The following is a 26,622-nucleotide window of genomic DNA, read 5'->3' on the forward strand; positions in this document are numbered from 1 at the left end:
ATATTCCTGGACACATACACCCTCCCAGGACTAAACCAGGAAGAAGTTGAATCCCTGAATAGACTAATAGCAAGTTCTGAAATTGAGGCAGTAATTAATAGCCTACCAACCCAAAAAAGAAAACACTTTAGTTTCTAAGTGTCTTGGTGTCCAGAGTTCTTGCAGTGCTGATTTTAAGCAATGAAAATGAGATTAGCCCAAAGAAGGGAGAGACCTATAATATGGTACATGAAATGATGGGTTAGTCTCAGAAATCAGAATATTCTTCTATCTCCAGACAAAATGAAAAACAGGTTTTATTCTAAGCCAATGTAATCTATTTATAAATAATAGCATACAAAAGATCCTCTTTTCAGTAAGACATCTGGGTGGCAGGAGACAGCAAACTTTTTACTCTGAGGAAAAAATTTTATGTTTTAGTTTAGGATCTAAAATAGATTCTAGAACTCTGACCTGAGGCTAAGGGTAAAGGGGGAAGATTTTTATATATAAAGTACAATATATATGATGAATAGATTGTGCCAGAGGATTGATAGATGCATATATTTAACACAATGAGACCAATGGTAAACAGATCGAACCCACTTTATTTCTTTGTGCTTTTCCAGTCACTTATATACAATTACAATAAAGCAAATCATTCTCTATATTTTTGTTAAATCATCACAAAATGTATGTTTAAAAAGTAGTTTAAGTTTACTAGAAAGTACTATCTCAATAGCTGTATAGCTAACTTATGTAAATCATATTTATGCTAATTGAAGAGAATATATTTCACCTTCAGGATATTGTATTCATTTTTTCTAGCCTTAATAAACATTTTATAAATACTGACACTGGGGATAAAGTTACTGATAATATTATATTTACTTTGGCTTCGCAGAGTAAAAATTGTTATTCAGTCACATACAACATTCTCGCATTTTTTTAGTCAATCCTCAAACTACCTGAGATGTAACCATTATTACTCAGTTATAAAAAGAAACCAAGATTCAGGTATACTAAATAATTTGTGAGTATTCATGACAGAACATGGCAGGTTTGATTGCAACTCTGTTTGATTCCAAAGTGTTTGCTCTTTCCACTTCATCGTAATGTATTTCCACTTTATCATAATGTATTTCTGGCAAGAAGCATAAGAATCAAAAACGTGACCTGAAAAACTACTATGGAATTATTTTTAAGTGGTTTGCATAGACTTTGTTTTTAGACTTTGTTTAACTTTTCCCAAAAAGTTGTACTCAGTTGTTCAAAGGCTAAGACAACGTTGTCGTCTTCATTTTCACATAGCTCACGCAAGGAAACACTGGAAATGGGGAAAAAAATATAGGATCCACTTTAGTGAGATTGAATATTATAAGAAAGGCTTTCCTTGGTTAGGCAGAAGTAAGGAAATCCCATCAGATGATGAAATTATGTTAGCAAAATATGAGGAATAATGATAAGAAACATATTTCTCCTAAAAAATCTTGTATAAAAAATTTAAGAAAAGATAACAAAACAACCCCATGCAATTCTTCTCCATGACTATTACCAAGAGAGTCTGAAAAGCCATCAAATTCCACATAACTTGATCCCTTCTCCCTTCAAAAGTGCAACGCAAATTCCTTTTCTTTCCTCTACATATCTCTTGTGGAGTCATTTTGTGTTATTTATGCTAGTGTCCAGTGTATACTGAAACCCACAGGCAGCTACATCTACGAAGAGGAAAATATTGCTTTCTTTACCTAGATGTGTAAAAAGATAAGGACAACAAGATATGGTAAGCAGAATAATGGCCCTGCAAAGATGTCCATATCATATATTCCCCAGAAACCGATGAATAGGTCAGGTTACATGGCAAAGGGGAATGAATTATGGCTGCAGTGCGAATTAAAGTTGCGAATCAGCTGACCTTGAGATAGGAAAATAATCCTGGATTATCTGGGCAGGTTCAGTGTGATCTCAAAGGTCCCTGTAAGTGGAAGAGTGAGGCAGGAGAGAGTCAGAATGATGCAGTGTGAGTCTACGAACCATTGCTGGCTTTGGAGATGAAAGGGAGCCACAAGCCAAGGAATGCCGGCAGCCTCTAAAAGTTGGAAAAGGCAATAAAAGTAGATTGTCCCTTAAGAGCCTTTACAAAGAAATGCAGCCCTGCTGACAACTGGATTGAGCCCAAGAAGACACATTTTGGACTTCTGACCTCCAGAATTGTAAAATAATAAATTTGTGTTGGTTTAAGCCACTAGGTTTGTGGTAATTTGTTGCAGCAGCATTAAGAAACTAATGTACAGGTAACAAAAAAGGAGAGAAGAAATCCAAGAATGAACAGTACAGCTGGACTGATCAAGGGCTGAAAACTGTCATGATCTGACATCTTATCAGCCTTTTATTATTTGCCCCTACCTTGTTTCCACTAGAGTTCCAGTTATTTTCGAGTGTCATCACTGACCTACCACAAAAATTGATCAGTTCTGTCTCTACAACACCAAATTTCCTTCTGAGTTACAGACTTATCATTGTGACTACTGAACATTTCCTCCTGATTGATATCTCCCAGATATAATGTGATGTGTATAAATTCTAGCTCACTATTTTTCATTCTCATCCCCAAATGTCATGCTCATCCTTGTTTCCTATACATCCTTAACAAAAATAGGAACTTTGGTCATCTTTACCAACTGCATAAATTTTTTTACCAATTTCTTGAATTTTACCTCGTAAATATTTTTCTGATCACTCTTCTGCATCATATTTCAATTCCCTTAATTCAGACCTTCACTCATTTTCACCTGCATGACTGTTACAGCCTTTGCACCTACATATTTCTGCCACATATATAATCCGCATGCTCATGCTCCCCTCAGGCTTATGCACTGTCTACACGTTGCTCAAAAGATGAAGCCCAAACTTCTTAATGTTAACATAAAGACCTTTCCTGATATAGATCCAAATTCCATTTAAAGTCTCTTACAACAACCCAGCATCTTCCCCCATCTCTGTCAAATGCCCATAATCTCCATGTTGACATAGTGAGCTTGGAGTCTATCCCTGACACATCAGGCCCTTTCTCATTTCTGTACTTTGAAAATACTATTTCTTCTTCCCCATAATTTAAGGCTTAGTCAAAAAATTACCTCATTTGAGACTCTTTCTTTGAATGCAAGTCACATTAGTCATTCCCTTATCTGCCATCATAGCTCTGACCATGTTTGTAAGGTCTATAAGTCAGCTTCTTTCACTACACATGTAAGAATTTTTTTAAAGCAGGTATATCAATTTAATGATCCTTTGGCCAGGCGCAGTGGTTCTTGCCTGTAATCCTAGCACTTTGGGAGGCCAAGGCGGGTGGATTGCCTGAGCTCAGGAATTTTGAGACCAGCCTGGGCAGCATGGTGAAATCCCATCTGTACTAAAATACCAAAAAAAAAAAAAAATTAGCCAGGCATGGTGGTATACACCTGTAGTCCCAGCTACCTGGGAGGCTTAGGCAGGAGAATTGCTTGAACCTGGGAGGTGAGGTTGCAGTGAGCCGAGATCGCAACACTTCACTCCAGCCTGGGTGACAGAGCGTGACTCTCCGTCTCCAAAAAAAAAAAAAAATTATGAACCTTTATAGCTCAAATGCTTAGGAAGTGTGTCTCATACCAACAATGCTTCAATACTTCTTGGATGAATGTGTGAATGATTGATTGATTGATTTCCTTGCCCAAGTTTTTGAGACAGCTTCCAAGTCTGTGGAGTTTCTTGGGCTGCTCTGGAGATAATAACTTCAGTAACTATGAGCCACTCAAGGAATACCCTATCTAGAGATATTCCAAGTGGACAAAGCAGTTTCCTTCTGCTCCCAAAAGTTTTACTCTGTTATAAAAAGTCCAAACAGGCCGATTCTGCTCAGATCCAAGATATAAAAAGAGACTTGATTAGCAAGAACCTAATAATGGAGAGAGTTGTGGCAAATTAAATATATAAAAAGGGATAGGACGAAGCAACACCTATAAAGTATTGAGTTGCATGCAGATTGAAGGCTTTAGAAAGATGGACATTTAGGCCAGGAGCGGCAGCTAATGCCTGTAACCGCAGCACTTTGGGAGGGCAAGGCAGGCAGATCACCTGAGGTCAGGAGTTCGAGACCACACTAACCAACATGGAGAAACCCCCTCGCTACTAAAAATACAATATTAGCCGGGCATGGTGACACATGCCTGTAATCCCAGCTACTCAGGAGATTGAGGCAGGAGAACTGCTTGAACCCAGGAGGCAGAGGTTGTGGTGAGCCGAGATCATACCATTGCACTCCAGCCTGGGCAACAAGGGCAAAATTCTGTCTCAAAAAAAAAAGAAAAGAAAAAGAAAGATGGACATGCAACTAAGCAACAGTAGATGGTCAATGAAGCCTAAGAATGGGGTACCCACATAAAGTTTGGTGTTGCTTGGGACCCCACTAGGTTTTGTTAAAGGTGAAAATAGGAGGCCAATATGAAAGATCAGAGTCAGACGGAGCCTGGAGAAAACATCAGAGAAAACACAAAATTCAAAGTATGTAAGTGAATATAAACTAGAGACCGGATGGAACCCTAAGGAGCCCTCTGAAATATCGTGTCCCATGTCTTTGACATACACTGCTTGTGGCAATTGAGAATACCAGGATCGAGGAGTCAATGAAGCTTTTGAATATTGCTGCCTGTCAGTGCATGATGCCTGGGGCTGAGACTCTAGTCTGGATGAAACTTCATCTCAACTAGACATTGGAATTAATTCTGTTATAGAAATAATACAACACGTGTTGAACAGACATTCTGCAGAGCCTTTGGGGAGTTGAAATGCATAGCACAGAAGAAGCTTAATGGCACCTTCATGTACCTGGCTTATAGTAACAGCTCAACATTTTTCAAATTATAAATAAATTATTAAAAAATCTAAAATCAATATTTAAATATATAACACACCTGATAGATTTAATGGTGAGTGCAAAATCCTTCAACAAATAATAAGCATCTCCTTCATTCATCCTAAAGAAAACAACATTTTGAAAATTAATAATACAAAACATTAAAGAACATCCTATTTTATATTTAAATGCTGAATTTATCAGTAAGAGGTTGCTTTTGTCTGTCAAGATCTCTTTCCAAAAATTATTTCTGCCACAGACTCCTAGATATTGATCTAACCTATGGCAATGGTGATTATGAATTCAAGAGTTGAAATTTCACAATCATATATAAGCAATAAAAATAGGAGGCTGGCCATCTCAGGAGATAACCAAAACAGGAAAATAAAGCTCAGGAGGGTAAATTGGAACTAGAGACTCAAAAGGGAAGAAACAGTTGTATCATTTACTAATGTCACAGCTGCTTTATTCACAATGAGTCACTTTTTTTCAAAACAGTGCTCAACATCTTTGAAGAGTGTCAGATATTTTAATACCTTCATTCTATAAGGACTGCTCAACATTTTATGTAAAAAACAAAATTGGTTTCCTGCTTTGATGTGACAGAATGCCCCTCCCCAAATCTATGTGCTCAGTGCCCAAGTCAATTTCTTCATCCTGGATAAATCCAACAGTGTTTACCCCTGGCTACTATTTTTGAAAATGTTTTTCCTGCCACAGAACTAAAACAATTGTCATGTACTCAGTCCTCTATCTACTCTTCTCAAATACTGGAGAGCATGCCATTATTTGTTATTCAGTTTTAAAATATCTAATAATGAATAAACAGGAGAGTAATAAATACAAATATATCTATGAGCATGTGCAAATATTTATATCGTTAGAGCACAGCATGATGTCATGTGAGCTGGGCTAAGTGCCAAGATTTTGTTGGAAAACCACAAAGAAAAATAATACCGAATTGTTATTCTCTCTTGCCATTAGTCTCTAAAAAAAATCAATCTAGTATGTTTAGTATGATTTAACCTGCACTTGAAACTGTAATGAGGTTTCTTCCTTAAAATTCATTAAATTAATTCATTAGAGATGGAGATGGGAGGACAGAGAAACAGAGACAGACAGAGAGGACATACCTGTTATCCTGGACTAATCCTATCAAGGAACCATGTTTGTAGAAATCCAGTGCATAGGCATTAAGCGACATTTTCCTTCCTCGGTTATCAAATTTCTGTGACAACAGCACTGGAGCCTGAGAGCGATTGACACCGATTGTGCCTAGAGTAACCTGAAAAAATACGATTATTCTTAATGTATTATTTATGTATAAAGAAAGTTGATAATTTCTTATGTGGTGCTTTGTAGATACATCCTTTAGTTACCATTTTTAAAGCCCACTCTTCACTGTGAAGTAAGAGGGTGCCTTAGCCACACATTGTGGTAGCACCATCCTAAGCAAGAGTGGAGAGTGGCTCAGCTCCACCCCATGAAGATTATTGCCTCCACAAAATACCAATGGCACTTTCAACCATCCATCCACTAGAATATAGAAACACTCACTAGGAAAGAAAACCTAACACCATTTCATTCTCCTTATTGGTGAAAGGAATTTACTTGTAAACAGAATATTAATGAGCTAGAGGATTATACATCACAAGAAAGGAATTCAATTGAACAACTCTAACAATCTTGGGAACCCAATTACCTGAATAAAAAGGAGGAAGAAGGAAAACAAAAAGAAGAAAAGTAAAAAGAAGGCGGTGAATAGTTTTCCCATGTCTGCTCATTTTTTGCAAACTGTACTGTAGAGGATCAATAGAACTCTAGCATACTGTTATTATGAGTGTAAATTGGCACAGCTATTTTTTTTTGGTAGTTACAAATAAATTTTAACAACTAAGAAAATTCATACATAAATATCTATGAATAATAAGAGTTGACTCCATGTACTATATGCAGATCAGTGATGCAAATTATAAACTGCAGCAATATCTAAACAAGACTCTATTATTAAAATTTAATAATTTGCAGGTAACCATTCGAGTGACAGATATCAACTGCGTTCACTCCTGCTGAGACTTGTTTGGCACAGCTACTTTTTAAATGAGTTGGTAGTAGCTTGAAAAGTTTAATATTTGAATATTCTTATTCTATATGACTCAGAAAATTATTTTAACCCAGAAAATCAATACCTAAGAGAAACTATTGCACATACGCACGAGACATCCATAGCAACACTGTGTGTAATAGCAAAGACAAGAAACAAACACAACTATTCGAAACAGGAGAACAGATTAACAGGCTGTTTGATATTCACACTACAAAATATTATTAAGTACTAAAAATAAAAGAGAGTTCGACGTTACAGCAGGGATGAACCTTAAGGCATAGCACTGAATGTAAATAAAAGTGACTTTCAGGTGACTGCAGTAACTATTCCTTCACTTTTCATAAAATTCAAAAGCAAATTAATATAAAAAGGGATTTTGTAATATGTAGTTTTTAAAAAGAAAAGTGAAAAACACAAAGTTTAGAAAGGTTGATGGCCTGGGGGAAAACGGGAGACAAGAAAATGAAACGTGGGAGGAGTACACAGATCCTTAGTACATGGTGTTCATTTAGTTCGATGCTTTAGAACTTATCTATATGCTATAAAAGATATATTTGTATGTACGCTTAGCATTATATTAAAATGTAAAACTAATTTTATTAATTAAAATAAACAATAAAAGCAAAACAATTTTAAGAGGTTATAACTTACTCTAGTAAAGTAAATTTGTATAAAGTGAGTTGGGTAAGGTAAATGTGAGGGAATATGGAAAGAAAATGTGAGTTCAAGAGGAAAAGAACTGCAAATTTATAAATCCTTATAAAAAGTTTTCCTGACTTGTTCTTAACTTACTGACTATGGGTATGAAAACACTTTCTTGTTGATATTCCATTTTATACAATTAAAAGAATGATGCATTGGTTTTAACACACCAACATTTATTTGAAACTAAAAACTGTATTTTTAGAAAGTATTTAAATTTAGGATAAAAATGTATGTGTTCATTTAAAATGCACAAGATGTATATAGTTTTCAAAATTATTTTAAGTGATACATGACTATGATTTTGGAATAAAATAGAGTTGAGACACCAATGTCAATCCATAATATCAAATGTAATAAAACACTTTTTCTCAAAGTTTGTATTAAGATATAAATTAAATTTCACCAAGTGTCAACATTCAAATGAATTAGCCAGGATCTTCCAAATGTGTCTAGTTCTTTGCATTCCATTTTAGGCATCAATGATGCAGACTGTAAGTAGTATTTACAGCATTTATAGCAGTACTGAGAAAGTCTGAAGACAGTTTTATGTGCTACTTCCACAGAAAACCTGTGTCAATATCAGTAGAGCCTTCAAAGATTGAAGAAAAGTAGTGGTGCCTGGAAACTCTCTGAGCAGGGTCCTCAGGCCAACTCTGAGAAACAGAAATCATATTGACTTCAAGAGCACCAATTCCTGAATATATCTGTTGATACACCCAGATTTTTTTTTTCCTTTTTAAGCTGGGAAATTCGAAGTTCTTTCTAAGCTGCCTAGCAATATAAATCCATTCTTTCTTAAACAGCTTTTATTAATAAACCCCACTCTTCACTTACATGGTTTGGAGTTTCTAGTCGAAGCAAATCATCATCAAAGTTCCCAGACAGACAAACAAATGGTGAAATTGCTACTCTTCCTTCCTTGCAGCTCATCAAATGAGATACGAGTTGAGAGTCTTCACATTCTTTACCTGTGAATTCTGACAATAATAGTTAGGGATAGATTAGTGTTTTGAACTCAGTCAAATTGTCAAACCTCAGATACTTTCTCTAGACCATGTTACAAGGGGAGCCATTCAGCTTCATGTAATGAAGACTGAAATGTTTCGTAAGTTATATCGCATAAGGTTAGTAGCACAGCTTGGCACAGAATACATTCAATGAAAGTTGGCTATTAATGTTAGTATCACTATTATAAAAATGTGTATTATATTTTAGTTGCCTTAATCAATAAGAAATGAAAGACTAAATTTAAATTATATACTCTTATCAGAGAATTATTGTTATTACCTTTGTACTTTTTCTTACTGAACTCAGAATTGCCTTCAGAATCTTTCCTGAAACCATGCAGCCTCAATTAGTAAGTTTGGAAGTAGTGCATGAGAATAAATATATTTTCCATTTATATTCTTATAAAACCCAGATCAGACATTCAAACTGGGCTCTAATTTGTAATTGAGGCATAATATTCACAGACTCCAATCTCACCCCACCTGTGATGGTCACCTTTTTGTATCTATTTTCCCTTAGAAAGCTTCCATCTATTAGCTCATGAAAAAAAGTGCAAATGCTAAGAGTGTTAACCATGTACAAAACACTATTTTAAGATTTTCATATATGTTAACTTAATCATTTAAAACTCATCAAAACTACGTAGATAATGCTATTCCCTTTCTCATATATCTGTTCAGAAAACTAAGGCATGAGTATGGAGTCTCTTGCTCAAGATCTCACAGCTAATAAGTAGCAGAACCAGAGTTTGGACCCAGAAAATATGCTCAGAATCTGTGTTTATGAAAACTAAGCGTATTTCCTCTCAAGAGAGAGTGACAGAATTCGTCTCTAGTTTCTCTTCATCTCATAGATGCCCTTACTCAGTTTTCCAGGCTTGACCCTGAAGCAGCATTTAACAAGATGGTTATAAATTGCCCTACTTAGTTTGTCTCTTTTGCCCTTTTAATGTCTAATAAGCAAAATTTTTTTCTTTAGAAAGGAAAAGGAATCTCCTCACTTGAGGGCAAAATAAACTTTCTGGGGTTCCACTCTTCTTCCAGAATAAACTATTCTTAGGCAAGATTATTTATTCTTCAAATTGTTCCACAATGGAGGTAAAATATACTTACTGATTTTTGACAATGGGAGTTGATATTCCTGATTCATATCAGCCAGTTTGGAAACAATTCGTAGGAAAGTGGTAAAGTCCTCCATAATTTTCATGTTATATTCATCTAAAGCATCACTAAAATCCTCAGGGAGATCATCAAGGAACACCTAGAAGCCGAATAATTTTCATAGAGATAGATCTATTTACCTTCCTTCAAAACTGAATCGTTGGAAGAAGAAAGGTAAAGAACATTGCAATATAATTCTATAGTTATCTATTAATATTTATTCAATAATGTCACTGTTTCATTTTTTCACTGGTGAAGTTCAGGTAACTTCATGTTTTGTTTCTATTTGCAATTATGAAAACAAATACCTTACTCATTACCCTTAAAAATGTATTTTGACATACTGAATCAAAACCACTTTTAAATAGAAGCATGCCCTCAAATAACATTAGACTTGTGAAAATTTCAAAGACTCTAGTGACACATTTGAATAGCAAGCAATGAGACAAAGTACATTTGCATGCCTAGAGTAAATCTCGTTTTGTTTTGAGGGTTTTTTAAACCTCACTGGATTCATTTTGCTAATATTTAGTTAACTATTTTTTCACTTACATTCATGAAAGAGAAGTATCTCTAATTTTCCTTTTCATTATGTTCTAGTCAGGTTTTGGTATTAAAGCTAACTTTTGCCCTTAGAAAGAGTAAATATTCCCTCTTTTTGTATTATCCAGAAGAGTGTAGTGGACTGAATGTTTCATATTTTCTCAAAATTTATATGTTAAAATATGAACACTTAATGTGATGGGATTAGGACGCAGGGCCTTTGGGAGATGATTAGGTCATGAGGGTGGAGTCCTCATAACTGGAATTAGTGCCCATAAAAAAAGACGCCAGAGAGCTCCCTTGCCCCTTCCACCATGTGAGAACACAGCATAAAGACAACCATCTATGAACCAAAAAGCAGCCCCCACCAGACACCTTGATTTAGAACTTCCTTTTAATTATTAATTTTTTATTTTTGTGGGTCCATAGCAGGTGTGTATATTCATGGATTATATGAGATATTTCGATGCAGGCATGTAATGCATAATAATCACATCAGGGTAAATGGGGTATCCATCACTTCAAGCATTTATCCTTTGTGTTACAAACAATACAATTCTATTCTTTTAGTTATTCAGCCATAAAAAAGAATGAGATCCTGTCATTTGCAACAACATGTAAAGAATTGGAGGTCATTATGTTAAGTGAAATCAGCCAGGCACAAAAAGACACACTTCACACGTTCTCACTACTTTGTAGGACCTAAAAGTTAAAACAATTGAACTTATGCAGATAGAGTAGAAGGATGGTTATCAGAGGCTGGGAAGGGTAGCTGGGGGACGGAGAAGTGAATGTTTAATGGGTACCAAAAAATAGCTAGAAAGACTGGTCTCTTCTCAGCCTCCGAAACTGTGACAAGTAAATTTCTGTTGTTTATTAGCCAGCCAATCATTGCTACATTATAGCAGCCCAAACAGACTAAAATAAAATTTGTAAAAAGTTGGTGTTATTCTCTTTACGATAAAAATCATGCATATTTAAGATATACAAACTGGTGTTTTAATATACATATATAGTGATGTTATCCTTACAAAGTTTGGAAGAATTCACCAGTGAAGCCATCTGAGCCTTGGGTTTTCTTTGTGGGAATGTTTTTTTTTTTTTAAATAATAGATTAAATTTCTTTACTAGATATCAGAACCAGATTAATTATATCTTCCTTGCTCAGTTTTGGAAAGTTGTATTTTCTAGGAATTTGCCCATTTGTCTAAATAGTCAAATACGTTGCTATAAAGTCATTCACAAAATCTTCCTTTGCTCTTTGCGATGTCTAAAATAGAGCCTGTAGTACTGCCCCATTTTCTTTTCTGATACTTGTGCTTTTACTCCCTTATTCTTAATGAGTTTTGCTAGACATTAATCAATTTTATTATTCTTTACAAAGAACCAACTTAGAGGCTTTGTTGATTTCTTGTTCACACAATTATTGTTAATTTACTTTATATCTGTTCTCATTTTATTATTTCTTTCCTTCTACTTACTGTAGGTTAGATCTTCTTGTTCGTTTTGTTATTTTCTTAAGCTAAAGTTTAATTCATTGACTTTTCAGCCTGTATTTTTTTCTAATTTATGGTTTTAAGGCTGCAAATTCCTCTGTAAGCACTGAATAAATTCCAACTTATAAGCATTCTTATGTTTGCTTTATTTTTATTTAATGTAAAATATTTTTAAATGTCCATTTTATGTCTTTTTTATCCTTTGTGTATTTATAAATTAATTTTTTAACTTTTCACGCAATTGAGATACTTCTGATTCTTCTGGTTAGTGTTTACCTGGCATATATTTTTAATCATCTTACTTTCAAGCTTTCTCAGTTTTTATACCTAAAGTGTGACTTGTATAAATAGCATATATAGTCTGATGTCACTTAATGGCAGGGATATATTCTAAGAAATGTGGCATTAGGTGATATTGTCATTGTGCAAACATCACAAAGTGTACTTAAACAAACCTAGATCACATTACCTAGGCTTTATGGTACAGCCTATTGGTCCTAGGCTACAAACCTGTACAGCATGTTACTGAATTGAACACTTTAGGCAGCTGTAACACAATGGTAAGTATTTTGTGTATCCAGATATACCTGAATGAAGGAAAGGTACAGTAAAAATACAATATTATATTTATGCAACCATCATGTATGCAGTCTGTTGTGGATCAAAATGTCATTGTGTGGCACATGTCTATAGTTGTCTATATTTTAAGATATAGCCTGAAAATCTTTGTATTTTACTTAGTGTATTTAGTACATTTACATTTAATATAACTATTGATATAGCTATTTTCTACCTTGCCATTTGTTTTCTGTCTGAATTTGAACCACTCATTATATATTTTTTCTCTTCCCTTCTTGTTTTTACCAGTTTTTCCTTTTGTTAACATGTATGTGCACACTATTTTACTAGTCTTTTAGCTGTTACCCCAGAGATTATAAGATATAGCTTTAATTTTATATTTCTTAATCTTCCAAAATTTTAAAACATTTAAATGTATTAACCTTCTGAACTCTTACATTATAATTTTCATAAACTTCAGTTCTATGTATTATTTCAAATTTTATATGTTACAATTATTTTTTGACACAATGTGTATTCCTTTATATGTAATCACACATAACCCTTTCTATTGTGATTCATTCCTTCCTGCATTTTCATGTTTCCAAATTTTGGATTTTTTCTATGTACCTAAAGTATATATTTATTTTACTGCAGACTTGATAGCAATGAATAACCTCAGATTTCACATCTGAAAACATCTTAATTTTATCTTTATTTTGACGAATATTTCCTACAAGTGTAGAATTCAGGGATAGGAGTTATTTTAATTGAGCACATTAAAAATATTGTTCCATTGTCTGGAGAGCCAAAATAAAAATAAAAATAAAAAATGGCAGACAAGAGGCAGAACTAACTTGCAGCTCCCACTCAGACAGACAGATCAGCATGTGGAGACTCACACCATGAACTTTTGCTCCAAGAACTACCAAAGGAACACACCAGGAAAGCCAAGAGAATCCACAGACCCTTTCAAAGAAGTAACTTGCCTCTTCAGGCAAGCTGAAAAACTGTGAATGTCCAAAGTGTGAAAGGGGGAACATCCACCCCTTAACACATATCATCAATGGGGAAACTGAAGTTCCAGATCATGGGAGAAGGATCTGGAATTGAGACAAATTTAGAGAGCCAAGTGAAATATAGGTGTAGAGGAAGCAGTGGGATAAGCACTCTGGGCACTTTCGGTCCCCAGAAAAGCCGTTTCTGACTTTGTCTCACAGGGGTCCTTGGGAAGGCTGCCAATGGAATTGGGGAAAGACCACATGGAGAAGGAAACTTCCAGCTGAACTCTGTAACAATTTCAACCAAACACAAAGTTTCCTGGACAGAACCTGGGGCAGGGGGGTAAACAGGGAGTGCAGATACAAGCACAGAGGCTGCAGCAAGTGGGGAGGTGTGAAACCCAAGAGCCCTGCTTGCTTTCTCAGTGGGGAGGCTTGTAGCCTGGGGAAAGTTTTCAGCCCTGCTCACAGATTGCCTGGAAATAAATTCAGCGCTATTGGGGAGTGGGGGACAGTACTACAAGAACTGCTGAAAGGAGCTCTAACTCTTGAAACAAATCCCTGAAAGACACCAAAATAGAACCTCCTTAAAGCATAAATCTCACAAGACCTATAAAATAATAGCACAATGGAAAAAGAAAAAACAAGGTATTTGGGCAACAACTAGCATGATAAATAGAATAGTACCTCACATTTCAAAACTAAAATTGAATGTAAATGGCCTAAATGCTCCACTTAGAAGATTTGGAATAGCAAAATGGATAAGAATTCACCAACCAAGTATCTGCTGTCTTCAAGAGACTCACCTAACACATAAGGACTCACATAAATTTAAGGGAAAGGGGTGGAGAAACATATTCCATGGAAATGGACACCAAAAGCAAGCAGGAGTAGCTATTTTTATATCAGACAAAACAGATTTAAAGCAAAAATAGTTTAAAAAGACAGATGGACACTATATAATGATAAAAGGACTACTCCAACAGGAACACTTCACAATCCTAAATATATATACACCTAATACTGGAGCTCTCAAATTTATAAAACAATTACTAATATACCTAAGAAATGAGAAAGATAGCAACACAATAATAGTGGGGGACTTCAATACCCCATGACGGCACTAGACAGGTCATAAAGACAGAAAGTCAACAAATAATGGACTTAGACTACACCCTAGGACAAATGGACTTAACAGATATTTACAGAACATTCTACCCAACAATTGAAGAATATACATTCTATTCATCAGCACATGGAACATTCTCCAAGAAAGACCATATGATAGGCAACAAAACAAGCCTCAATAAGTGATCTCAGATCACAGTGGAATAAAATTGGAAATCAACTCCAAAAGAAATCCTCAAAACCATGCAAATACATGGAAATTAAATAACCTGCTCCTGAATGATTATTGGGTCAACAATGAAATCAGGATAGAAACTTAAAAAGTCTTTGAATTGAACAGTATTAGTGACACAACTGATTTAAAACCTCTGGGACAGAGCAAAAGTGATGCTAAGAGAAAAGTTCATAGCATTAAATGCCTACATCAAAAAGTCTGAAAGAGCAAAAATAGACAATCTAAGGTCACCCCTCAAGGAACTAGAGAAACAATAACAAACCAAACCCAAACCCAGCAGAAGAAAAGAAATAGCAAAGATCAGAGCAGAACTAAATGAAATTGAAACAAACAAACAAAACCAATACAAAAGATAAATGAAACTAAAAGCTGGTTCTTTGAAAAAATAAACAACATTGATAAATAGACCATTAGTGAGATTAGCCAAGAAAAGAAGAGAGATCCAAATAAGTTTCATCCAAAGAAATGAAACAGAAGATATTACAACCAATACCACAGAAGTACGAAAAAAAAAATTATTCAAGGCTACTATGAACACCTTTACGCACACAAACTGGAAAACTTAGAGGAGATGGGTAAATTCCTGGAAATATACAAATCTCCTAGATTAAACCAAGAAGAAATAGAAACTCTGAACAGACCAATAACAAGCAGTGAGATTGAAATGGTATATATTTTTTAAATGTCAACAAAAAAAGTCCAAAACTATATGGATTCACGACTGAATTCTATCAGGCATTCAAAGAAGATTTGGGACCAAGCCTACTGACACTATTTCAAAAGATAGAGAAAGAGGGAATCCTCCCTAAATTGTTCTATGAAGCCAATATCATCTTAATGTCAAAACCAGGAAATGACATAACAAAAAAAAAAAGAAAGAAAACTACAGACCAATATCTCTGATGAACATAAACGCAAAAACCCTCAACAAAATACTAGCAAACAGAATCCAACAGCAGATCAAAAAGATAATCTACCATGATCAAGTGAGTTTCATACTAGGGATGCTGGGATGGTTTATCATATGCAAGTGAATAAATGTAATATACTACATAAACAGATTTAAAAACAAAAATCACTGATCATCTAAATAGATGCAGAAAAAGCATTTGACAAAATCCAGCATCCCTTTAGGATTAAAACCCTCAGCAAAATTGGCATAGAAAGGACATAGCTTAAGGTAATAAAAGCCATCTAAGACAATCCCACAGTCAACGTTATACTTTACAGGGAAAAGTAGAAAGCATTCTCCCTGAGAACTGGAATAAGAAAAGGATGCCCATTTTCACCACTCTTACTCAACATAGTACTAGAAGTCCTAACCAGAGCAATCAAACAAAAGAAATAAATAAAGGACATCCATATCAGTAAAAAGGAAGTCAAACTGTCACCATTTCCCAATGATATGACTGAACACCTAGAAAAGCCTAAAGACTCGTCTAAAAAGCTCCTAGAACTGATAAATGAATTCAGTAAAGTTTCAGGATACAAAATTAATGTACACAAATCAGTAGCTCTGCCATACACCAACAGCAACCAAGCTGAGAATCAAATCAAGAACTCAGCCCCTTTTACAATAGCTGCAAATAGTAAAATAAAATACTTAGAAATATGCCTAACCAGGAGGTGAAAGACCTCTGCAAGGAAAACTACAACACACTGCTGAAAGAAATAATAGATATCACAAGCAGATTGAAACACATATCATGCTCATGTATGAGTAGAATAAATTCTGTGAAAATCATGAGGCTGCCAAAAGCAATCTACAAATTCAATTCCCATCAAAATACCAACATCATTCTTCACAGAACTAGAAAAAACAATCTTAAAATTCATATGGAACCAAAGAAAAGCCCATATAGTCAAAGGAAAACTAAGCAAAAAGAACAAATCTGGAAGCATCATACTACCTGACTTCAAACTATACTATACGGTTATAGTCACCAAAACCACAAGGTCCTGGCATAAATATAGACACATAGACCAATGGAACAGAATAAAGAACAGAAATAAAGGCAAATATTTACAGCCAACTGATCTTTGACAAACCAAATGAAAACATAAAATGGGGAAAGGACACCCTATTCAACACGTGGTGCTGGGATAATTGGCAAGCCACACGTAGCAGAATGAAACTGAATCCTTATCTCTCACCTTATACAAAAATCAATACAAGATGGATCAAAGACTTAATTCTAAGACCTGAAAGCATAAAAATTCTGGAAGACAATATTATAAAAACCCTTCTAGACATTGGCTTAGACAAAGGCTTCACGACCAAGAACCCAAAAGCAAATGCAACAAAAACAAAGATAAATAGATGGGACTTAATTAAACTAAAAGCTTCTGCACAGCAAAAGAAATAATCAGCAGAGTAAACAGACAGCCCACAGAGTGGGAGAAAATCACAAACTATCCATCCAACAAAGGACTCAATATTCAGAATCTACAAAGAACTCAAACAAAGCAGCAACAAAAAAACAAACAATCCCTTCAAAAAGTGAGCTAAGGACATGAATAGACAATTCTCAAAAGAAAATATATAAATGGCCAACAAACATATGAAAAAAATGCTTAACATTACTAATTATCAGGGAAATGCAAATCAAAACCACAGTGCAACGCCACCTTACTCCTGTAAGGATGGCCATAATCAAAAAATCAAAAATAATAGATGTTAGCGTGGATGTAGTGAAAAGGGAACACTTTTACAAAGCTGGTGGAAATGTAAACTAGTACAACCACCAGGGAAAACAGTATGGAGATTCCTTAACAAACTAAAAGTAGATCTACCATTTGATCCAGCAATCCCACTACTTGGTACCTACCCAGAGGAAAAGAAGTCTTTACACAAAAAAGATACTTGGACATGCATGTTTACAGCAGCACAATTTGCAATTACAAAAATATGGAACCAGCCTAAATGCCCATCAGTCAATGAGTGGATAAAGAAAATGTGGTACATATGTATTATGGAATACTACTCAGCCATAAATAGAAATGAAATAAGAGCATTCACAAGCAACCTGGATGGAGTTGGAGACCATTATTCTAAGTGAAATAACTCAGGAATTGAAAACCAAAAATCAAATCTTCCCACTCATAAGTGAGAGCTAAGCTATGAGGACACAAAGTCATAAAAATGGTACAATGGACTTTGGGGACCCATAGGAAAAGGTGTGAGGGGTGAGGAATAAAAGACTACACATTGGGTGCAGTGTACACTGCTTAGGTGATGGGTGCACCAAAATCTCAGAAATCACTACTAAAGAACTTATACATGTAACCAAACACCAACTGTTTCTCCAAAACCTACTGAAATAAAAAAAAATACCAAAAAAATTCATATGTGGTCATCCGGAAAAGTATCTTTGATATAAGTATAAAAAAGCAATAGCATGTCTAATATGATTCTAGTTATGTAACACCAAGAGTTTATATATGTATATATCAATGATTGCATGTATTTGCCTGTAAAATATCTGAATCAACAACAAAATATTGTTCCATTGTCCACTAGCTTCCATTATTTTGATTAAAAAGAAATCTAGCATTCTCATTGCTTCTTAGAAGGAAATGTGTCACTTTATTTCTGTCCTAGGTGATTTATGATTTTCTCTTTGTGCTTTTCAGCAGTTTAGCTTAATGTTTTTCTACATTTATCCTCCCTGAAGTTGACTACGGTTTTAAAACTATGGTGTGTTATCTTTAATCAGCTTTGGAAAATTCCCAGCTATTATCTTTTTGAATACTCTTCAGCCATTTTTCTCCACCATTTTTTTTTCTGGGACTCCCATTATATATACATTAAACTTTTTCCATGTGATTCATGTTTGTTACGCTGTCTGATTTTTTAATTTTTTTTAATCTCTGTGCTATACCTTGGATGCTTTCTATTATGCTGTCAACTTACTGATCATGACTTCTGAAATGCATATTCTAATGGTCAGATATTGTATTTTCAGTTCTAAAATGTCCAATTTAGTTTTATACATTCTAATTATCTAGTAAAAATATCCATCTTTTTATCAATTTTGTCTCTCTTCCTATTTTCTTGAACATATTAATCACACTTATAATCCTTATATGTTAATGCTAATGTCTGGATGATTTATGGATCTACAATTACCGACCTCTTTTCTTCCTGCTTATTGGTCATATGTTCATGCTTACTCACCATTTTAGGTTTTGTTTTGGTATTGGTTTTGCACCAGAAACTGTTTTCAAAGGACTTTACGGCTTTAGATGTTATCTTTCACAAGAGCGAATGCCCCCATTTTCGTGTTTGGCCAAGAGAGTGAAAGTATGATCACCTCAGTACAAGTACAGACTGCAGTGGGTATTGTTTTACAGTTTTAGTAAGCCTCATTTATGCTTTGTCTCTCTTTCTAGGTCATGGATTTCTTAAGATTTTGAGAATAAGGCTAGTTAGTCTTCGTCTTCTCAAATCTAAAAGACTGCTAAAGATCCACCTTTTTCCTATAGCACTTCCTAACCTGCTGTTAAATTTTCCAGTCCTAGATGGCTTCGAAAATGTCTTGAGGGGGATACAAGCCTACCTATGAAGGCAGACCCAGATCCTTTTCTCTAGTGAGTTTTTATTTAATATAATGGGACTTTAGGAATTATTATCTAATTTTTTCTTTTTCTTAGAGATGGGGTCTCTCTCTGTTCCCCAGGCTGGTCTCAAACTCCTGGGCTCAAGCAATCCTCCCACCTCTGCCTCCCAAAGTAGTGGGATTACAGGCTTGAGTCACCATGTCTGGCCTATTTTTTAAAGCTTTTTGGTGTAGTACCCCAACATTTCACGCAGATCTGTCTGTTATGCAGTAAAGTGTATTTTTATCATGAGCTTCTTTTTTCAAAATAGAGATAGTGAATTTTCTATGTTAAATATAAATTTATATAAACAGAACAATTAAATAATTGTTTCAAAAATGCATGAGTGGTGAAAAGTGTAAAGATGATAGGTCAATGACTAAAATTGTGTTCACTGCTCTAGAGGGCATTCTGTGAGAGCACAGATTTTTAATCCAGCATTGTGGGATTAGAAAATATATACTAATTCTTTTTGTTTGTTCCATAGCAACTTTTCACTAAGGTTATCTTGTATAAACCAGCATATCCCATTTTATTCTAGGGAAGTATAATAGTAATAGTATTTGATGTTGACTTGATGGTAGAGAATCATAACCAAAGAAAATGTTGCATGTTACAAATAAAATCGAAAAAGTGTTTCTCTGATTTTGGTCTCTGTGAGTCAAGTAATGATTTCTTAGATGACTATTCTGATATTTTCTCAGTGAAGACATTATAATTCACAACATATACTTCCCTTCCATAGTTCTACCTTAAGGTAAAAGGATCCTAAAAGAACAGTATATTCGGTGATACAGCTAGATGTTTCACTTAATGTATAATTAGCATATCTTTTCTTTAGTCACCTGATATTATAATTTGATACAATCAAATGAAAAACATGAATAAAATGTTTATCCTCTTTTTTTTCACAAAGACTTTAACTTTTTGGTAGATTTACAGAGGGAGACATCAATTACAGATTAAATATCACACTGATTACAAAAAGAACAAATTATTCTATAAAACAAATGAACTGCCCTTTGAATTAAAATTCTACAGCTGCTAAGTCATTTTAGGTAAGATCTATTTAGTGGTTTTACATTACTAAATTTTATCAGAATCACACAGTTTACCTTTGATTGATAAAACTCGAAGTGTGCATCTTGGAACTTTGGTGGAAAATATCTTCTTCCAAAGAGATGTGCCAATACTAATACTAGCTTTTCCATAACGTCTTGAGAAAAATGTTTTGAGCCTATATAAAACAAAGTGTCTTCTTGTAAATATGAAAGGGTATAATTCTATTTTTTCATGTTTAAATGGAATGTCATATTACATTTAATTTCATGGAAACTAAAAATTTATGACAAACATAGCAATTGAAGAATTACCATATATCCGCTAATAGTTTTTATCTGTGCCTTCTTTTTCATCCTTGCTACCTATACCCTAATTTAGATCCTAATGATCCCACACAAATTGCCTTATTTCCTTACCTAGATTTTCCTCCCTTTAGTCTATCTTAGTGATTTTAAGAACTACCATATAGATTTAGTGTTTAAATGTAAAAATCAAAGGATTTTAATCAAAAATGTATTAAATAAAATGTATTTAAAAATTTACTCAATATGGATAAAATTGTGCTATTTTTAGGGGAAAATATGATTCTAAATTACACTATTAATATACTATTAGCTATTTAGGTATACTATACAATAATATTCAAAGAAAATATGATTGGAAGAAAATATTCACAAACATTAATAGTGATTATCTGTGGATAGTGTAATTATGAGTAATTTTTTATTTTTAACTTAATGCTTTACTATATCCTTTTTCTATGATGAATATATATTATATTTAATTAGAAGAAAATATTTTCTAAAAAGTGTATATTATTTAATATGTTATTAATCCTGGAGGCAAGGAATCACTGAAGTTAATATTTTGGAGGTGTTGACATTGTAAATACATGTCATAAAACATGGCTGACTATCATTTAATATATATTAGTAGGTATTTACTTTATCAATTGAAGATCTATAAATTATCTACATATTAATTGTATTTTCTTTATTAAAAATATTCCTGAAGTGTTGTTTTTCTACAAATCTGTTGCTATTTTTGGACTCTCTCTCTACATATATATATAAAATCTCAAGCTTACCTTTCCTGGTTGGCTGACAGAGATCATGGAAGAGTCCATTTACAAGAAAACTGACAAAAACAAGATTAGAAGGTTCATGATAATGCAAATGTGATACAAGTCCAGCAAACCCCATAGGATTACCTTCTTGATCTAAATAGCCCTAAAGAACAAAAAACAATTTATTAGTTTGACTCAAGTCACCACATAATAAGTAACTTATTAAGTACCAGTTTAAAATAGTATTTAATGCCAATATAAGAAATATTTATAACTATTACTGGGCCCAACTTTTATAATTATACCATTTATAAATAATATCAATCATTGGATAGAACCTTCTAAAAGCTACAATTTGTTCAGCATGATAAGAAATCTAGATAGTAGTAATGCTATTTCCCAAAACAAAAGTGCAGTAATGCATACCTCTTTCACCAGGAACTGCAAAGAAAACAGGAAGTAAAGTTTTAACATGTCCATGACTCTGGGTTGCTTGAAGGACAGCAATGAATGCTTTAGCACTGATAGCACCTTTAAAGAAAAGAGTATTTTTAGACACACAATGTTAAGTGTTACGAAATACGTTTGAAAATGATAATAAATGATAGATCAATATCTATTATACCACAAAGATATCAGAAATGTATCAGAAAAAATTTGATTTCATATTATTTTATAGTGTTACATGGCAACTTCTTTAACAAAATAGAGCACATAAACTGAATTGTCAGAAATGAAACGTATTGCCAAACAGTCTGATTATTAAAGCCATTCCAGTTCAAGAGTTTATAGCTTTTAAGTTGTTCTAGGAGTAAAAAGATATATTATCCCATGTTCTGCAGTATTATTACAAAAATAATGTAACTAGGTTGATTTCACCAATGTTATAAAAATATTGCTTGTTTTCCAGAGTAAAACTGCATTAAAGTACATGTATCTTTCAACTTCCCATTAAAATGTCTATGAAATTCCAAAAAAAAAAAAAAAAAAAAAAACCCAGCATCACCAAAATTGAAACTTAACCTGTCTTTAGGCCTGAGGGTTTATAGAACCTAGAAAGAATCTCTACTTACTATAAGGTTAATGGACTAGGAGGAGGAAGGGAAGGAAAAAAATAAGGAAGGGAAGGGAAAGGGAGGGGAGGGGAGGAGAGGGGAGGGAAGGGAAGGGAAGGGAAGGGAAGGGAAGGGAAGGGAAGGGAAGGGAAGGGAAGGGAAGGGGAGAAAGGAAGAGGAAGGGAAGAGAGAGAAAAGGAAGAAGAGAGAAAGGAAGAAAGAGTGGAAGCGTAGAAGAAGGGAGTGCACTTTCCATCTCCTTACTGTGGGATGATATTTTTGAGGGCACCATATCTGGCCTTTTTTGCAACCTCTTCGCTCTCATATGCCACATATAGTCAGAGATGGCAATAGTCAGAAAACAGCATAGTAAAGGGTGAGGGTTTCATGGTGGTTCACTATAACCACAGAGGTACAGACCTCATATTAAAGTCATACTAAGATTATAAGAATCCTGATAGCATTGCATACTATAGTTTATTGTGATTAATGTCATCCAGATAATCAATGTGTAATAAGACTAGCAGAAGTAGAACGCGACCTTTCAGTCCAGAAAACTACATAGATGAAGATCTGCTAAACACTGATATTTGGGCCAAAAACTATTCATCCAGCTCAGCTCTGAAAGGGTATTTGATTAGCATTTAGGTGGATAGAGTGAAGCCAGAAGAAATTTCATACATCCTATTGCTTGGCAAACCATCAGATTTGGATAGATGTATCCAAAGTGATAAAATAGAAAAACACACAATAGATCAAATCTTCTTAAGAAAAATTGATCATCTTCCTAAAATTATGGTGATGCTGTAAATATTTACTGAATGTCTACATCAGAAAATCAGACAAACAAACATTATTGGCCTTGGAGTGCTTACATTCTAGTGGAAAATATAGAGAAAATATATAAAAACATGATAGAGATAGGAAGATAGAAAGATAGATGATAGGTAGATAGATGATTGATAGATGTAGATAGATGGATAGAAAGATAAATGATAGAATGATACATGATAGAAAGGTAGGTAGATAGCAGATAGCAGAGAGATGATAGAAGGAAGATAGATAGATAGATAGATAGATAGATAGATAGATAGAGGTAGGTAGATGGATAGAAATATAGATGATAGACATAAAGAAAGATAGATCAATGTAGATAGATACATAGATAGATTTGATGCTATATAGGAACTGATGAGAACTCTATTTAACTGAATAAGGAACATTGTCAATGCAGCAGACAGGGAAACATTTACAATTTAGAAGGCATGGTGAGGGTAGGCTTCACTATGTAATGTTAGAGCAAAGAATTTAATGTGGTAAGAGAGTGAGGCCATGTATATGTCTCAGGGACGATCTTAGAAGGAGAAGAAACAGCAAGAGCCATGGTCCTCAGACTGGAATGTGCCTGGGGTGTTCATGAAGCAGGTAGCAGGCCATATGGGAAAGAGGAAGAAGTGAGTTTTACAAGCTGGTAAGATATCATATTCTACAGGATCTCATAGACTGTGACAAGGACATCTTTTCCTCTAAAGAAAAGATCTGACCTATGAAAATTGTTTTCTATATGCAGCAAAAAAAAAAAGTTGTTTTGAAAAAATACTTATATGCCCTCTCTCACCACTCTTATTCAATACAGTATTGAAAGTTCTGGCCAGGGCAATCAGGCAAGAAAAAGAAATAAAGGATATTCAAAGAGGAAGAGAGGAACTCAAATTGTCTTTGTTTGCAGATGACATGATCCTATATCTAGAAAACCCCATCATCTCAACCCAAAAGCTTCTGAGAAGCAACTTCAGCAAAATCTCAGCATACAAAATCAATGTGCAAAAATCACAGGCATTTTACTACAAACCAACAACAGACAAGCGGAGAGCCAAATCACAAATGAACTCCCCTTCACAATTGCTACAAAGAGAATATAATACCTAGGAATACAGCTAATAAGGGAAGTGAAGGACCTTTTCAAGGAGAACTACAAACCACTGCTCAAGGATATCAGAGAGGACACAAACAAATGAAAAAACATTTCATGCTCATGGACAGAAAGAATCAATATTGTGAAAATGGCCATACTGCCCAGAGTAATTTATAGATTCAGTGCTATTCCCATTAAACTACCAGTGACTTTCTACACAGATTTAGAAAAAAACTATTTTAAAATTCATAGTGGAACCAAAAAAGAGCCCATACAGCCAAGACAATCCTAAGCAAAAAGAACAAGCTGGAGGCATCATGCTACCCAACTTCTACCTTTAACACAAGGCTACAGTAACCAAAACAGACACACAGACCATTGGAACAGAATAGAGAACTCAGAAACAAGACTATACATTTACAACCATCTGATCTTCAACAAAAACAAGCAATGGGGAAAGGGTTTCCTATTTAATAAATGGTAATAGAAGACCTGGATAGCCATGTGCAGAAAATGGAACTGGATCCTATCCTTACACCTTATACAAAAATTAACTCAAGGTGGATTAAAGACTTAAGGTACACCCCAAAATTATAAAAATTCTAGAAGATAACCTAGGCAATACTATTCAGGACATCGGCATGGGCAATATTTCATAATTGATGTGGTTTGGCTGTGTACCCACCCAAATCTCATCTTGAATTGAAACTCTCACAATTCCCGCATGTCATAGAAGGAACCCAGTGGGAGGTAATTGAATCATGGGGGCAGATCTTGCCCATGCAGTTCTCCTAATAGTGAATATGTCTTATGAAATCTGATGGTTTTAAAAAGAGGAATTCCCCTGCACAAGCTTGTTCTCTCTTTGCCTGCTGCCATCCATTGTAAGACATGACTTGCTCCTCCTTGCATTCTGCCATGATTATGAGACCTCCTCAGCCATGTGGAACTGTAAGTCCATTAAAACTCTTTCTTTTGTAAATTTCCCACTCTTGGGTATGTCTTTATCAGCAGCATGAAAACAGACTAATACAGTAAGTTGGTACCAGTAGAGTGGGGTGCTGCTGAAAAGATACCTGAAAATGTGGAAGTGACTTTGGAATTGGGTACTAGGCAGAAATTGGAACAGTTTGGAGGGCTCAGAAGCAGACAGGAACATGTGGGAAAGTTTGGAACTCCCTAAAGACTTCTTGAATGGCTTTGACCAAAATGCTGATAATGATATGGACAATGAAATTCAGGCTGAGGTGGTCTCAGATGGAGATGAGGAACTTGTTGGGAACTGGAGCAAAGGTGACTTTCGTTATGTTTTAGCAAAAAGACGGGCAGCATTTTGCCTCTGCCTGAGAGATTTATGGAACTTCGAACTTGAGAGAGATGATTTAGGGTATCTTGCAGAAGAAATTTCTAAGCAGCAAAGCATTCAAGAGGTGCCATGGGTGCTGTTAAAGGCATTCCGTTTTATAAGGGAAGCAGAGCATAAAAGTTCAGAAAATTTGCAGGCTGACAATGGGATAGAAATGAAAATCCCATTTTCTGAGGAGAAATTCAAGCTGGCTGCATAAATTTGCATAGGTAATAGGGAGCCAAACATTAATCACCAAGACAATGGGATGTCTCCAGGGCATGTCAGAGACCTTTGTGGCAGCCCCTTTCATCACAGGCCCAGAGATTTAGGAAAAAAAACTGGTTTCCTGGGCCAGGCCCAGGGTTCGTCTGCTGTGTAAAGTCTAGGAACCTGGTGCCTTGCATCCCAGCTGCTCCCGCTATGACTAAAAGGGGACAAGGTACAGCTCAGGCTATTGTTTCAGAGGGTGGAAGCCCCAAGCCTTGGCAGCTTACACGTGGTGTTGAGCATGACAGTGCACAGAAGTCAAGAACTGAGGTATGGGAACCTCTGCCTCAATTTCAGAGGATGTATGAAACTTCCCGGATGTCCAGGCAGAAGTTTGCTGCAGAGATGGGGCCCTCATGGAGAACCTCTGCTAGGGCAGTGCAAAGGGAAAATATGGGGTTGGAGAACCTGCACAGAGTCCCTCCTGGGGCACTGCCTATTGGAGCTGTGAGAAGAGGACCCCCACCCTCCAGACCCCAGAATGACACATCCACTGACA

The 26,622-nt window shown here is 35.0% G+C and overlaps 1 protein-coding gene across 4 annotated transcripts in view; it reads right to left on the reverse strand.

Moving 5' to 3' along the window:
* Positions 568–26,622, reverse strand: part of DDX60 (DExD/H-box helicase 60) — a 109,686-nt gene continuing 83,631 nt past the window's right edge. For 3 of the 4 annotated variants that reach the window (XM_024454132.2, NM_017631.6, XM_024454133.2), the window contains 8 exons: positions 21,965–22,069; positions 21,560–21,701; positions 20,526–20,647; positions 9,803–9,950; positions 8,517–8,659; positions 6,004–6,155; positions 4,929–4,991; positions 568–1,306 (listed from right to left, as the gene is read on the reverse strand). In XM_024454132.2, the coding sequence (XP_024309900.1) occupies positions 1,207–1,306; positions 4,929–4,991; positions 6,004–6,155; positions 8,517–8,659; positions 9,803–9,950; positions 20,526–20,647; positions 21,560–21,701; positions 21,965–22,069 (975 nt within the window). In that variant the 3' untranslated portion in view covers positions 568–1,206. Of the gene's footprint in view, positions 1,955–4,928; positions 4,992–6,003; positions 6,156–8,516; positions 8,660–9,802; positions 9,951–20,525; positions 20,648–21,559; positions 21,702–21,964; positions 22,070–26,622 lie in introns of all 4 variants that reach the window. The other variant, NM_001410861.1, reaches the window with a different exon arrangement.

This window comes from Homo sapiens, chromosome 4 (assembly GCF_000001405.40).
Source record: "Homo sapiens chromosome 4, GRCh38.p14 Primary Assembly".
NCBI classification, from domain to species: Eukaryota; Metazoa; Chordata; class Mammalia; order Primates; family Hominidae; genus Homo; species Homo sapiens.